Below are 17,642 nucleotides of genomic sequence, written 5' to 3' on the forward strand. Positions count from 1 at the left end.
ATGGAATACTATGCAGCCATGAAAAACAATGAAATCATGTCCTTTACAGAAACATAGGTGCAGCTGGAGGCCATTATCCAAAGCAAATTAATGCAGAAACAGAAAACCAAATACCACATATTCACAGTTATAAATGAGAGCTAAACATTAGGTAATCATGGACATAAAGATGGCAACAATAGACACTGGGGGCTAGTAGAGGAGGGAGGGAGAGGGACAAATGTTGAAAAAATAACTATAACTATTGGATATTATGCTCACTACCTTAGTGGTGGTATCATTCATATCCCAAACCTCAGCGTCAGGCAATATACCTGCAACAAACCTGCACATATATACCATGAATCTAAAATAAAATTGAAATTATATATTTAAAGAAAAGATTCTAGTTCTGGACAGAGAAGGAAGGTGATGTTGGGGATGACATCAGAACTGTGCGTTGAAGGATGAATAGGAATTTTTCAAGTGTGTAAAGCTAAAGAAAGACAATAAAGGGAGAAAGACTAGCATGCATAAAGAGTTAGAGGTATCAAAATGTAGGGCTGCAATTCTGAGCAGCTTCCTACGGCTTAACTAGGTATCCTGGGATAAGAGGTGAGGGTAAAAAGGTAGACAGAAACCAAATCATAAAGAACCACAAGACACAATGGGCCATATAATGTAAGACAGTCATTTAGCTTTTATTTGGTGAGAGGTAGGCATCTATTGAAGGTCTCACAAAGTGGCAATTTGGGAAAATAGGAGGCAAGGAGACAAAGTAGAATTGAAAAGCTGAAATAGCCGGGTGCGGTGGCTCACGCCTGTAATCCCAGCACTTTGGGAGGCCGAGGCTGGCGGATCACGAGGTCAGGAGATCGAGACCATCCTGGCTAACACGGTGAAACCCCGTCTCTACTAAAAAAATACAAAAAAAATTAGTGGGGCGTGGTGGTGGGCGCCTGTAGTCCCAGCTACTCGGGAGGCTGAGGCAGATAATTGCTTGAACCCAAGAGGCGGAGTTTGCGGTGAGCCAAGATCGCATCACTACACTCCAGCCTGGGTGACAGAGCGAGACTCAGTATCAAAAAAAAAAAAAAAAAAGGAAAAGAAAGAAAGAAAAGCTGAAATAGCTGTAACAAAGAGTATGATGAAATATATTCATGATGAAAATGTACTCTCACATTCTCTACCACAAGAAAGTTAGCTGAGTTGTGCATCAAAGTTCCCCACGTAACAATGGAACAAAACTTTGATTAGTCAGCATCTCCTCTGTGTGTTACAATGTTTATGAGATCATCCTGATATTTTGCATTGACAGTTGTTTTCTATAACTGACACAAGGTCTCTAGCTGTAAATTCTGATGCACACTGACCCCACTGTGATCTTGTTAAAAACTTTCAACAGAACTGTATCACGCATTGCCAGAGCAAAGCTCCTTAAAGTTTAACAAAGGACAAGTAATGCACACATGCTACTGGTTTTGTTCTAAAAGCTGGTGAAGCAAGAACTCTTTAGGCCATCCATCTTTCTATGATCAGACCAAGTGTCTCATTCCAATCAAAGATTGTTCCCAACAAACATGCTTTATATTGGTCATGGGAACGAAAGCTTAGATAGAACTCCAAGAAAATGACAATTTTATTTCTTCATTTCTCCTTTATTGAACACCAAAAAGATATTGTAAATAGTCACTATGATCTAGGCTGTCACAACACCTATACTACAAAAACAAAGTATTTTTCAATACTGTCCTTTTCAGAGTAAATAGAAATAGCACCTTATTTTGTTTGCTGAAATTTTACCCATAGATTGTCAGTTTTGTATCAAAAGAAAAATACCCTTTATATTGCATGAAATAATCAAGAGAGCTAAACAGATACAACACTACATTTTCCACTGTGTAAAATAATCCAAAGAGAATTATGCAGTAAATCAAATGTTTTAATATTGTGGTACACACCATGACCCAAGAATTTTTGTTTTCTTTCCCTTTTCTTTCCACCAATGTATCCCAACTGAAATGCACTCTTTACTAACATAGTTTCAAAATCACATGCTTAGGTTTTATTTACACACTAGCTATATCTGACTAAATGGCAAATTTTCAGTTGTAGGCAAAAACTGAGTTTAAAATGCAGTGAAACTTTAATTTTTCTACTTGAAAATAAGAAAACAAATTATGGAATAACATGAAATTAATGAAGTCGATGTGATGTTTACTTTAAACGACTCCAGGAGATATTTGGATAAAAGAAAAAATCAATCTATAAAAGCAGAAATATTTCCCATGTACATATAAAAGTGAAAACGAATTATGTTTATGTTTCACAAGTTAAATGACAAAAACTTTTTTTCTATGTTGCTATTTGCAATTCTAAAAATCTATAGCTAAAGTAAAAGGGAAAATTCTTTTTTTAGTTCAAGATTCCTAGCTTTACTCTGGAGAACTAATTAATACTTCCTCACCAATCTCACTCAATACTGAGCAGTTTTAGAACTTTGAAGATGATTGTGTGTGTCTGTGTGTTCATTTCTCTACATTATGCACTTCTCTGAACTGCTATTAATTGTCATCTGTTCAACATGTTTTTACCAAATGTTTACTACAAGTTACACACTCCTAGATTCTGTGTGCTCAAATAAACTTAGTGCTATGAGCAGAATATCTAGTGAAGAATGTTTATATTAGAAATCATTACCACCAATATTAGCATGTGGCACAGCTTCATTCTCACATTGCCTAGGCGCTAAGTATTCTGATATATTTATACATATTTTTTCTTTAGAGCTTAACAATAATAGTGGTTTCACAGGAAACAAATTACTACTATTATTCAACAAATTCTAACACAATTTTACACAACAACAACCACAACAAATTTGTTGTTTATATAACATTAAAGTGATTCAATGGGGTTATAACCTTTCCACCTAAACAGTTTAGGTATTATACTGTAGGCAGAGGTGAAATCCGTTGACTGCTCTTAACAGCATGCATTATTATTGGAAATCAGGCCACAAAGAGAAGGAAAATGAAGAACTTTGTGCTTTTTTTTTTCATTTTCAAGCAACACATTTCAGAAACACAGAGGAACAATTCTCCTATTGAGAGAGTATAGTTAACAACAAGGTTCTATAGAATTGGGCCTTGAAAAATGGATAAGTGATCATGTGATAGAGCTAAAAGGGAAAATCATGATAGGCTGAATAAGTGAAGTTAATACAGGCATGGAGATAAGACAGGAAATGACTGCACTAAAGAAATACATCCACAATAATATTAGAAGTTGTGTCTAAATGGAGAAAGCCATGAGAGATATTCAGAATGTCACTGAATATAATTTAAAATAAGCAATAGTGTGTTAGGCAGAAAATATGTGAAAAAAAATGCAAGATTCCTTTAAATCCAAAGATGTTTAGACCTTGTTGGGAATGAATGTATATACCTTTACATCCAAAGAAATACAAAATTCAATCAAGTAAATAGAAGTAGACTGGATAAAGTTTGCAGTCTTTGGTTATTAGAAGTAAGGATTAAGTAACCTAGATTTGAAACTAAGGGGGATTATGTGACTGCCTTCATTTTTGGTGGTCTACTTCAAATTATGGAGTCACTAATATGGCAACTATATATATAGGTCTCAGTACATTCTCTCAGCATTGAATGCAAAAATTCAGTCACATATAAGCTGCCACTTTCCGTCATTTAGTAAGCCATAGGAACTGAGAAGGCAAACTCAGAAAATTTGCATGAAAAGTACATTAATTATCTATTGCTACATAAGCAAATTACCTCGAAGTTTAGTAGCTTAAAATAACCTTTATTATTACACCCAGTTTCTTAGGGCAGGAATCAGAGTAGCTTAATTAGATGATTCTGGTTCAGAGTCTCATGAGGATGCAGTGAAGCCATTGGCTGGAACTCAGTCACCTGGAGACTCAACCAGCACTAGATCAAATGTTATTCTCACTCACATGGTTGTTGGCAGGACTCAGTTCCTCACTGGCTATTCACTAAAGCTCTTAGTTCCTCACTATAATGGCTTCTTCACAGGGCTGTTTCCTCATCACAAAGCAGCCAGCTTCTTCCACCATGAGTAATCCAAGAGCAAAAGAATAATGTGTAGATTTTAAGTGTGTTAAATGTTTAGGCCAATTTGGGCTTATTAATGTAAGTTATTCTGGAAATTCCAACTAAAATATATAACTGACTAATACAAATTTGTGATTTTAAGAAGAAATTTTAACAAGTGTTATATTGGATCATTTGAGAATAAATATATTAGTATATTATAGTTATTAAACTTATGGTAGTATTTTTTTACAGTAGTCAATTTATATATTTTAAAATAAATTACATATAAAATGCATAAATGCAGTTTAAAATATTTGAAATTGTGATTTGTATTAATCAACAGGCTTACTACAAGTGGTTGTTAAAATGTATTAAGTCTATAAGTAGACTATTTAGATTTTTAACCTAAATTTGGAAGCTTAAGGGAGAACTTAGATTTTAATGTGGAAGTTTAATAAATCAAGCAAACACATATTAACTTTCTGATTTAATATTTTAAAATAATTTCAACACAAATAACTAGCAAGAATACCACAAAGGGCTCACATGGACTCTATCCAGATTCCACAATTTTGTAACATGTTCTATATTTGCCTTAAAACACTATCCCTTCTAGTGTCAGATCAAATCCAGGATCAGGTCATGTATTAGTTGTGTCTTTACATATAGTATATATGTGCATATGTGTCTGTGTATGTGTATATAATGTCAGTTCACATCTACACCTGTGATTTTAATCCAATACCATAGGCTTTTAAAAATTCTTTACCCTTTCCATATCTGTTTGCCCCTTCTCTAACAGTGAGAAATCTAGTTCCCATTACACTCAATATATCAATTTATTTGCATAGTACTAAAAATGTAACCAAAATCCTTACCAGGCAGGCCAGCACCTCCTACACTTTCTGCAGAATTTGTCTGTGCAGATGAATCTTCTCTGACTAACCATTGCCTGATCTTGTCATCTCATTGAGGTTGTGCAGGCCATGGAAGACCTGTCACCATTCCAAGTGATATATTAATAGCTAAAATGATATAATACTTTATGCAATTTGTGAAATAAAAATTTTGAATACATTCCTTTATTTTAATAAGAAGTGTTCAATGTATAAATTTTATACAAGCATCATCTAAGAAGCTTTGGCCAACATGGCTCTTTCTGTTATAAAACAGGCCTTAGACACAGTATGGAATTAAAATTCCTTGAGCACATCTAATTGTCTGGAAAACGACGGTTAATAAGGAAATGGGGCAACCACTTACTTAACATCTCTTGGGCTCAGATTACTCTCAATCTGTAAATTGGGGATAATTGTTTTGCAACCAGTCTCTGAATTAACAGAGTTTAGTGCTGAGGGAAATTAAGTGCTGCCGCATAATGAAGTAAAAAAGGAAAAGGAGACATCAAGTGGTTTTGATGTCACTACCCCTACATCCACCAGAGCAGCACTTACTGGTCTATTTTATATGGTGGACTTTTACTTTGCTAGAGTCCCATGGCTAGAGTTAAGTGGTAGGAAACCACTGGCCTAGCACTACCATTCATTCTATGCATTACTAGACAGTTTTGTTTAAAGTCCTTCCTTTATTCATTAAATCTGCTCCATTGTGCCTAGCAATGAGCTTTAGTAGAAAAAAAGTAGAAAACCATGCATTGACTTGGAATCATTACGTAAATTAGAATGCCTACTCCACAGCATAATTTTGAGAACTTAAATAAGATGATGTATGTTGCATCAAGCACAAGGAAGTTTAGAATAGGCAATCGATAAATGTAATTATTTTCTTGTTTTTTCTAGCACATTGCTGAGCTTCTAGTTGGTTCTTAATAGGTATTTGTTAAGATGAATTACATCTCAGCATCTTGCCACTTAATACTTACCTGTCCTGATTTCAGATAGCTTTTGTCGAAGGTTTACAACCAATTCATTTTGACCAGTATTTCCAAACAAGTTAGCTGAATTATAATTTGCTTCTTATAGCTGGTTCTTTGTAGTAGTAGGAGTGGGGAAGGACAGGAAGATATCCAGAACATGTGAAGTTAAAGTTAACCACTGAGATTAAGTTAAGTTAGGGAAAATCAACATGTAATAAATGAAATGCAGCATCTATTAAGTAATTCACCTTAAATGATATTAGTAGCTAAGATATATTGAATATTTTCTCTGTGCCAGGTATTTAGCAAAGCCTTTTATAAACAATTCATGAAATAGGCACTGTTATCAGTCTTATTTTACAAAAATAATTTGCCCAAGGTTACACAACTAGGAGTAACTGGATTCCAATCCTGACAGTCGGATTTCAATTTGCACACTTAACTAATCAACCTAGCATATAATATGTGAATAGAAGTTTGATTTTCAAAAGAAATTGTTAAAAGTATTAAGTATTTATTAAGCTAATATGGTGTGCCAGATAGTGTAGTAAGTGCTAGAGATATGGCAGTGGAACATACATTGCCTCTTCTCTAGTAAGATGAGCTGAGAAACATAAACACAAAAATAACAAAATTTTCATCATGATAAAAATGAATATATTGACATATGTAATCGACAGTTTTGTCAGTTGCATTATACTTAGTCCCAACTAGAAGTTTCTTAATAAAAGCAGGATGATATGTAAGAAAAAGGGAAAGTTTAAGAGAAACACTTTTTCAGTTGGTCATGAGCCTTGTCTAGGAGAGGGGATGACATAACCAAGGAGGTTTCCTGGGCAGGTATCTCTGAAATGGAATGGATCTACTAGACTATCAGATCTCAGTGACATTAACCATCAAAAATGCATAATACCCTCGATTTTCTAATTATAAATGATTAAAGGAGCATTGTAATTCATGCATTATTTAGGCTATTAAGAGTTTAGTTTGAACAAACCCACTATAGCTTTGTCAGTTTTTGGTGAACTAAACAACAAATAAATAAGCTTTTTATTACGCAAAGACAGAGAACAGACAGAAATACAGTAAATCCACAGAGTGTCTAGCACCCTGTAGAGGGAGGTGTTTTCTGGGTAACCAGTTGGCTTCTGGAAATACTGGCTCTCTCTCCTCTATCTTGCTGCTTTCTTAGTGTAGCATTTTCTCTTCTTCTTCATTAATTTCCCTCCTCCAAAATGTTAGGCGTATTTTCTTCTTGGGTAGCACCAGTCAAATCGGTAATTCTGGCTGTTCTCACTAATTCCTGCTAGTTTAAATTTTCACCAATTCCTGCTAGTTTAACTTTTCACCAGCACCTTTATTAAGTACATTACAAACACCTTTACTTAAGCATGTGCACATGTTCATGTGCACTCACACACACGCACACACCTGTCTCCTTGATTCTCGCATCCTATTAATAACACTTAATATTAAGCAATCTTAAATTGTAGTGCAGACTCCCAACCAAATTCACATTGATTTTAAATTAATGAGGTGACAGGTTAGAATTTTATCACAAAGACTAAGCTTCTCCTTTCACTACCTTTAGAAAGCAAAGAGGAAAAAAATTAAACTCTTCAAAATCCAATCTATCACCTTATCTCTTTGGCTAATACTTCCAAGGCATTCATCAAGACCAGCACTGCTCAGAGAGAACTATTTATGCCCTGCTAATGGACTAGGCTTTTATTTAAATCGTGGCTAGAACATACTAATGGCATTGCACAGACCCGCTGATTTGCCTTGGGATAAAATAATCCAGCTTAACATCAACAAAATAAACATCCTTTTAAAGCACTGCTTGAACTTAATATTCACTCTAAAGTATATAATTCAGTGTTCTCTCTTATGAAATATAGTTGCTCTATGCAAATTTTTGAAATGTTAAGTTTTGTCTTCAATTCTACTTATTCTGATCTCCATATTGTTGGACATTTAATCTCTTCAGAGCACTTGTATTCAACCATGTAAAGAAATGCTCTTATAACTTGTCAAATTTTCAATAATGGCTTCTTCAGGTAATAAAACTATTCATGTAAACACCAGGATGTGTTTTGTGTTACTTCCTGGGAAACAACTTAATACTGGAGGAAACAGGAAGAAAATTAAATAACTTCATTCTAATAATTTACCTATCATCAAGGTCACAGAAATAATTAAGCACATTGACAAATATTATGCTTTTTTGTTTCCTTATACACTATATTTGCATACTCCTAATTCAAAGAAGTATGAGGGATGAGGTTATTGTTGAAATGAATTGACATTCTTACAAACAAGGTAACACACAGGTCTTTAAAGAGAAAATATTAGATTAGAGTAAAATTAGATTTGCATTAGATTAAAATTAGCTCTATTAGTATTAATAAATATTAATATAAAAGTGTACAAAATATAATTAAGCCTCCTTACCCTAGTATTGACATGCATGTCCATTCGGATGAGAAATGGTGTTAATGCTGAGGTTTGAGAATAACACTGACTGTTCTTCTGAAGTTAATTTAATTTAGTCATGGACAGAAACATGGATTACTATGACACTTGACCTATAATATCAAAAACTTAAAAATGAAAAGAAACCCAGGCATGAAATAGCAAACCTGCTCAAATTTTTCAAGTAGAGCATAACTACAAGGGTCCTGATTTATTCATTTTTCTACATGAAGGAAAACTGCCTTGAGAAAAAATATATGTTCTCATTTTAACACTTCTGAAAATAACACCGTTGTTCTCGATTGGAAGCTAATTTTGAATTGTAATGGCAATTACTAAAGTGAACTAGAAAAAGAAATATGGATAACATCGTTTCCATGGTTACAACCAATTGTGTTGTCTGATTGAGGTTCCCAAATGTAGGTTTTGTAACCAGCTGCACCGGAACCACCTGAAGCACTTGTTAAAAGCACCAATTCCTGAGTTCTATTTATTAAAAAAGAACCCAAAGTACTGTTCAAAAAGCTCCACAGATAATTATTATCTTCACCTAGTTTTTAGCACTATTGAGCACATTCCAATATTTCTTCCCTCCATTTGCTCATCTGTAAAGTACTCAAGGGAATAATTACTAATAAATATTTTACAGTCAATAGAAAGAAATCAAGTGAGATTACATATAAAATTGATGATCATAACTGCAATACTGAACAACAGCCTAGATCCATACATCCATAGCAGGGTCATTGCAGGGGGACAGGATGTAAAAGCTATGCTAATCATGGGATTACTTTGACTGTGAGGTCAAAGTAATGAAAGGGGTCTCCTTTTGGAAAGCATATATGTACCTTGGTTACAGCTAGTGAAAATGTGGGCTGGAAAAAGGAGCCAGCAAGAAACACGCAGAAAGTTTTGAGAGAAAAGAGACACGGGGAAAATGAGCTGATCCCTTCCAACACGGAAATACTAAGGTAATGTTCCTTTTTCTCTGGTAGAAGCCACTGAAATACAGAGTTGGAAATACTGGGGAGCAAGAGTGCAAATTTGTATAATACATCCAAAAGATAGTTGTAAAAACCCTGGAGGACTCAAGATTATCATAAGAGGAATGACGAGAGGGAAGAAAAGGGAGTATTTTCAACAGAAGCTATATGGCAGTCCAAAACATTTAATTGAAGCATTCAAAAGTAGATGTGTCTGTGTTTTACAATTTGAGCTGGGGAGTGGAACACAATGTTTAAATTAGTTCCTTTTCCAATTACATAGATTTCATTATTCTATATTGTCATAGTAACTCTCGCCTATATCAACAATACACACCATGTGATATGGTTTGGATGTGTCCCCACCCAAATCTCATCTTGAATTCCCACATGTTGTGGGAGGGACCCGGTGGGAGGTGATCAAATTATGGGGGTGGGTCTTTCCTGCACTGTTTTCGTGATAGTGAATAACTCTCATGAGATCTGATGGCTTTATAAGACAGAGTTTCCCTGAACAAGTTTTTTTTTTTTTTTTTTTTTTGCCTTCTGCCATCCATGTAAGATGTGACTTACTCCTCTTTGCCTTCCACCATGATTGTGAGGCCTCCTCAGCCATGTGGAACTGTAAGTCCAATTAAATCTTTCTTTTGTAAATTGCCTGGTCTCGGGTATGTCTTTATCAGCAGCATAAAAACGAACTAATACACCTTGTCAGCAAAAGTGCCAGCCAGCCCTTCTGTTGGTCTGGTCGATTATTTGTCATGTCACTCTGAGCCTTTCTGTACATGAAGGTCCCTTTGACGTCAGCAACAAATTGAGGCTTATAATTAATAGGATCCCAGATCAGGAGGCTCAGGAAAACTTTAGGGGATGGGACACAACATTATTGCTCATCTAGAAATTTCCTTAAGGCTAGATATCAAAGGAAATGGTGTGTCTTCTTCTTATGTCACACCAGAAAGTACAGAGAATATACCTTTAGGGAAAGTCATAGGTGACAGTGGAACAAAAGAATGGCTTCTCTCTGCTCTTTTTGTACAACATGATTTCTTGCAAACAGAAGAAAAATACTGGCCCATGAATTTGTAGCTTGTAAAAGTTTCTATAAAGTGATGAACTCTGAAAAGTATAAGATTTTTGCTTGCTTTATAAATCTGCAATACCATCTTAGTATCTGTATTTTTTTCTCCTATCACTGGCTAATACGCTGCCATTTGATACTTAAGCTGGAGATGCACTCCTTGTAACCATCTACTTTTCATAAGAAATCATTAGAGATGTAATGTAAAAATCTACCTTGATTACAAACATGCACATTTTCCATGCTGCTAATATAAAATAAATGTCATACATCTGACCAGCTTTTCTTGCCAAAAGAGTTGATATTAAGGAGTCATTAAGAAAACCTAAATCATGAACCATTATTCATTCAACAGTCAAAAAAAAAAAGCGTCTGTGTCTTAGATGCTATTAACGCATGCTGAATGCCAGTTATAATGATCCCATTAAATCAGATGTGATGAATAGTTCATGATGTCTGACTTTACGTTATTTCTGGAACTTCCGTTTATATTCTTTCTGGAAATAATGGTCCAAGGCCTTATCTGCCTGGGGGCTTTACTGCTTTTTTTTTTTTTTTTTTTTTTTTTTGATTCTAGCTCCAGGGAGCTATATTTTTCTATCCAGACACTGAAGACAGAAAGGTCATCTCAAAAAACAGTGTTAAGAGGCCACTGTTTTTTGCCTTCTTAAACCAGAGGTGGAAAATGAACAAGAGATCTTTCTGAGCGCAAAAAGATATAACCTAAAAGCCTTTCAGCACCCGTCCCATATTTCATTCATTATGTTCATTGTTCTGGCGGCAAACATTTCCTGTTCTACTCTCATTGTAATCCTTCCATCTCCAGTAGTTTGTCTGGGGGATGTAGTTACTGTGCAGTATCAAAAGCAGTCAATTAAGATGATTTTTAAGAGCTATCTCGTGAAGCAGGAACTCTTTGTTTAGTGCTGTCAACCCAATAACAAATGAAGATTAAATAGTGGTTCATCTGGGCAGGATGGCGTGAGGCATGGAATTCTTTATTTAACAAGTAGGCTTTCCACAGTACCTACCTTGTCAGGGATTGCTGCTGAGTCTACCAGAACTCAGGAGGCCCAGATAAACAGAAACTATGTTTGAGGACAAGAGGAGAAGAACTAAGGAATTTTATGCATGCTAACAGAGATCGAGAAAGTATTTCTCATTAGTTTGGCATGCATATAGAGAGACTTCTAAGAAAATGAATGATGCCAAAGAGGTTATAGTGATTAGAATGAAACTGGAGCCCTAACCAGAAGGAAGCAAAGACACTAGCATGAATTTCCAAGGAACTATATATATAAGAAATATGCCAGCATTCTTTTGATAGGTAACAAATTATTGGGAAATGAAAAGACTCCAAGAGAAAAAAAAAAGGGGAGGGTAGGGGGAAGAAGAGAAACACTACAAGGAGAGACAAAATAGGCAATGAAAATATTTGGGAGGGGATTTAATCAGTAACCAAAAGTCAAAATGTAAAACTTGCCCCATCTCTTTTTTGATACCTGGTGCACACACAGAAAAATGTTACCTGTGTTATCCTAAATGTAAACTAGGCCTAAAGTATTAGTGCAATAATCCCCTCTTATCTACAGGGATCCAAGATCCCCAGTGGATCCCTGAAACCTCAGATAGCACCAAACGCTATATATGCTATGTTTTTTCTATCTGATGATGGAGATGACAACTAAGTGACTAACGCGGGCAGGTCATACATACAGTGTGAGCAGGCTGGACAAAGGAATGATTCACTTCCCGCGCAAGATTGCATGAGATTTCATCTCGCTACTCAGAAGGTCATGCAATTTAAAAGTTTTGACATTCACAGTGACACCTGGAAAAAGAACCATGGGTCACTTTGCAAATATATGACAGTGGTAAGAGGTCCTAAATAGGTGAAAAGGATCAGACAGACCTAGAATAAGTCAAGATTCAGGGTTTGGATCTCCATTGCCATGAAACAGATAGGCATCTTCCTAGCTGTTGTCCGGTTTCAGTTATTCATGAAACGCCTTCTCTCCTCCTTCTTTCCTAAAATGTATCATTTAAAATGCTGCTCTGTGTAGTAAGAAGATAAGAGTTTGATGAGATAAAGTTGCAACAGCTAAAAAAGAAGTTTAGTTAATGGGAGCAGTTAACAGACTGTGCAAATTGTCTGTTAAGTGGCACTTTATGGTTCAGCAGAATCCATGAGAGTTCTATCTGGAATTTCTATCAGGCCCCATTCAGCAGGAGCTGGTTCCCTGGAACCCAGCATTAAAAAACAACAACAAAAAAAAATTGGTGTCTTGTCTATCTTCCTGGATAAACAATGACAGCTTCAACCCATTTGAGCTACCTTCCTGAACAATGCCATCAATTATCCCCAAGTGTGGATTAAAGGATATAGTTCTAGGGAGATAGGAAATAAACCCTCTAAAATGTTGTCTAAAACAAACAAACAAGCTTATAAATTGTTTATTTCTGGAATTTTCTTTTTAACATTTTAGACCAGGAATGAGCATGGGTAACTGAAACTGTGGAAAAAGAAACCTCAGATAAGAGTGAACTACTATAAGCAACAGTAATATTTATTGATGCAAAAGTAATCATTAATAAATAGATTTTGTACATAATGTGTTAATGAATGCATAGGAGAAGTTGATTGAATCAGGCTTTCTTATACCGTGAGAAAATCATAGACTCTTTGTGCTCAAAGAAACTTCGAAGTAACCTTGTCCAGCTACCACCTATGCATATGCTTGAATCAAGTTCCATGGGTCACAATTATCAACTGCTGACAAGATACCTAGATAAGAAAGTTACAGAGAATTCCTGTAACAATATTACCCAAAATAATAATTAGAGATTTGATGTATGTTAGTTACATTAAGGTCCTTTTGATGAACAATCCCTACCCAATCCTTATTGGAGAAATATAATTACAAACAAAATCTCCCAACCCAGAAATCCTCTCCACAAAGGCAGCAGAGAGAAAAAACACTTTTGTTATTGAATGAGCATTAAGCCAGAATGCGATATATGCATCACAGGCAATCCACTACATGATTACAAAGAAGAAAGAAATTCACCTTTTTATATAGTCAAGTACATACAACCCATTACATACAAGTGTTCAAGATAAATAATAACTGGTGCTCAAGTAAGAAGGCCTGACAGTGCCATTTGTGACACATAGTTTATGCTAACTTTACCTGGTAGTTGGGGTGACCATCTATGTTAGCTAATTGACTTTATCCAGAGGAAAAACAAACTTCTCATATCTTTATGACCTGGGTAGTTTTGCAACTTAGAGCAATGCACTCACAGAAGTTGGGATCCTATCCTCCCCCAGAAACTGAGACAGGAGTTACATTTCAAAGAGCTGGTTCCCAGGTCTACTGGGTCACAAAGCTGACAAAAGCCATCTTCAAAATGTTTTATATACATTTTCAAAGAGAGAGGAAAGTACTTACAACGTTTCTAAAGTAAATGCTCTGAGAAAAAGGAGGGGGTGGAAATCTTATTAAGCCTATTATTTGTAAATTTGTATTTGTCCCTCCACCCTCCAGGTGTCCTTCCACCCTCCTGCTTAACTTTCCTCAGATTACCTCCAAATCAGCCCAACTCTTCACCTGCTGATCTTCCAACCCTTCTTTCTAGAGTGTCTGGTGTTATCTGAAGTATGAGGCGGAGGATCTGTTAGGCTCTGAAATTGGAACCAAAATGTGTTTTGGAATATGCCTTTTAAAAATGGGTAAAGGATTCATTGCCTTCAGGATTTTCTCATTTTGCATTGCCAAGAAATCCCTCTACAGGTGTAACCATCTGCTAAAATTCTCTGTCCACTTCTTGACATATTTCTGATAATATCGCCTTCCTCACATCCTTCTAAAAGGATTCTCATTTTCTCCACACCCCATTTATCAGATCCAGCATTCTCCTGGATCCCCGTTGCCAATTTCCAGCCCATTCTTCTGAAAGCTTCCTTTAATAACTCATCCTCCTCTGGTCATCTATCCCACATTTTTCAACCATTTTGTTCACCATCCACTGACACCCAGTCATTTTTGCCACAATGGGAGGTAACAAAAATGGCTATGCTTATAAACTATTCACCACATATCATATATTCTGTATATCATAAATTCTTAAATTCTTTAGCAATTCTTTTCACTTATCTAACTTCTCAGGTGGCCACATTCTGCATCTTAATTTCTACCGCTAGAAAATTTACCAGTTATATTTCACTCTTCTTATCACAGTCCTTTACCCTACAACCTCTATTCTTTTGCGCTCTTGATTTCATCCTCCAGAATGATCTCCCAAATACAGATCAAACTTTATGCTTTAGTGTATGTACTCTGCTGGTGCTGCTGCAAAACTTTCCTTTAATCTTACTTCTGTCTATTCTTCTACTTAAGACAACTTTACTGAATCTCCATTTTCTGCAAGATAAATTTCAAGTTAGTTAACATAACCTTTTTGCATGTTAGCTTTGACTACCTCTTCCAACTTCATTTCCAGCCACTTCACCTACACTCTATTTATATCAGCATGCTTGTTCAAATATACCAATCACTTTAATTCCCCCATGCCATTATTTATGATTTTCTTCATGAATAGAAAATTCTTTTTCTCTTTTAAATCTCTTTTACATGATTTTTCCCCATTTTCTTTCAGTTCCCTGGTCAGGCCATTGGCCTGATCAGATCAGTTGATATTTCATGTGAACCTGAATCATGATATCTTCCATCTGTTCTCTTCTTCTCTATTCTCTTCCCATTCCAAAGCAATCATCCAAACACCCCAATTGGAATACATCAAACATTGCTTAACATTTATTGTCTTCATTTTATGAATAATATTAGTCTCTACAATCTAATGCCAACCAATTTTTCCAGCAATATTCATTTTACTTATATAAACATTTTTCAAATTAGTTTATGCATTGTTCTAGAGATATATCTCTCCCACCTCTAATTTGCTAATAATTTCTTATTCTATGTATTTCTAAAGCCAAAAGGTATTCTCCTTTAAACTTTTCTTGACCACTGTCATATAATGTGACTTATCCCTTCTGTAACTTATAATTTGATGTCTTACACCTCATACTTTGTTCTAGTGCTGTTTTGTACATCTAAGTACCATTTCATGATGAATAAATAATGTCTGAATTTCATTAAAAATGTAGTTTATTAAAAGTGTTTATATTCATCATTATGTTTCTGTTTATTCTATTGTTTTACATTGCTAACTAAGAGAAGTAAAGGTGTGCATGGATTATTGAGGGAGGTCATTTTGGAACAACCTTCCAGTGAGTAAGTATCAGAGCTGCAGTCAGACTATAAGAAGAAAAACTTCTAAGGAAAAGTATAGAGAAAAATGACAGTCTTAATTGGCCATCTGCAAATAACACGTTACGTTTTACAATGTAAAACTAATTTTCACCAGAATATACCAGTTTTAATTTATAGGTAACTTAATACTACTTTACTTATGAGATATTCATTAAGTAAATATGGCCTCTTGGATTTTAATCGTTGCTTTAGAAAGTCATGAAACTCAATGGTTGATATCACTATATAGTTATGCTATTTATCCTCACCTGGTCTTCTGCTTTTTCTCAAAAATTTATATGTTCAACCCGTTACTCCATAAAATTTCTACATCTTCCACTCATAACCAAAGCGCCCCAGTTTCTTGTGTTATACCCCAATGACTTCATCGCTATGATTTCCTTTCAGTCTCAAAGGAAGAATAGTTCTTTTCTTTTCCTAAGCTAAGCAAATTTGTTCTTTGGTTGCATTTCTTATTAGTCTCCTCACAAACCCTGGGTCTCTTCACAAACCCTGGCTCATCAGCAGACAAAACTTACTTTCACTTGGTGTCATGTTCTCCCTTTTTAGTGTTAACACAAACATGCAAACCAACAAAATCCTTAGAGTATTATTCTCTCAATTTCTGTTTCTCTAACAAAAGCTTCAGAAAGCCTATATTACACCTTATGCTTGAAACAAGGTGTGTGTCTTGGTGTTGTCACTGACTGGCTGTGTAACAGGTCATGTGACCCACCTGAGCTTCAGTTTGCTTATTTAACATAAAATTAGTCTTATCACCCAAAATGTTGTAAACTAAAATAACAAGCAACAACAACAAACAAGGAATGTCCTATTCAATATTTATCTCTTTGCAAATGAATCTAGAATATTTCTGAGCAAAATCTCTTTAAGTCAAGTCTTGCAAGTTCAACACTGTGCTTGTCTTTGCTGCAGGATCGCTTTTTCCCCGCTATTTTATTCAAAGGTGCACTATTCTTACAGCCATTTTAGAATCATGTTTCTTCCCTACGTTCTATTATGCAACGAGTCACTAGGTCTAAGTGATTCTCCCTTTCTCTTTTCTGATACTATTTGACTTTTGACTAAATAATAGTTTCTAAACATTTTTTTCACTCCTGTATTCAGCACCTTTTCCAATCTATTGTTGTTAGCCATGTTTTATAAACAACATAAATTTTCTCCATTAAAATCCTTCAATTGCTTCCCAGTGCCAACCAAATAAAACTAATATCTATCATTCTTTCAATTTGCTCTGATATTCAGGTTCATATTTTGCTTTAATACTTTACTTGAGTCAAACGGAACTATTTACCCTCCTTTGAATATATCCCTTGCCTTTTAGCCTCTGGGCCTTTGCTCTTACCCTTATTTTTCTCTGTAATCTCATCTCATTCATCTTACCTGTGGAAATTCAGCTGCATTCTGATTGTAACATTCTCTTTTGTCAGAAATTATCTTATTCTTTTCTGAACACAATTATACTGTGTTCTATTCCTTTCATAGCTGACATCCTCAGACAGTACCACCGAATTAAACATTAAATATTCCATAATCCCAATAACCACTCCACATACACATAAATGTATTAGAAGAAAGATTATTAATGGTTCTATGTACTTAGTATCTTTCAGAGTAGACAGTGTTTTCCAATAGGTAAATTTCAAAAATAAGCATAACACCTACTGCTTAATGGAAGTAGAGATATAGATTAGAGATAGGCATAGAAATATAGGCATTAGAGGTAGAGATAGACATAAATTTGCCAGGTAACTAATATTAATCTCTATAAACACATTCTTTTTTTTTTTTTTTTTTTTGAGATGGAGTCTCCCTCTGTTGCCCAGGCTGGAGTGC

Source organism: Homo sapiens, chromosome 6, assembly GCF_000001405.40.
Source record: "Homo sapiens chromosome 6, GRCh38.p14 Primary Assembly".
Classification (NCBI taxonomy): Eukaryota; Metazoa; Chordata; class Mammalia; order Primates; family Hominidae; genus Homo; species Homo sapiens.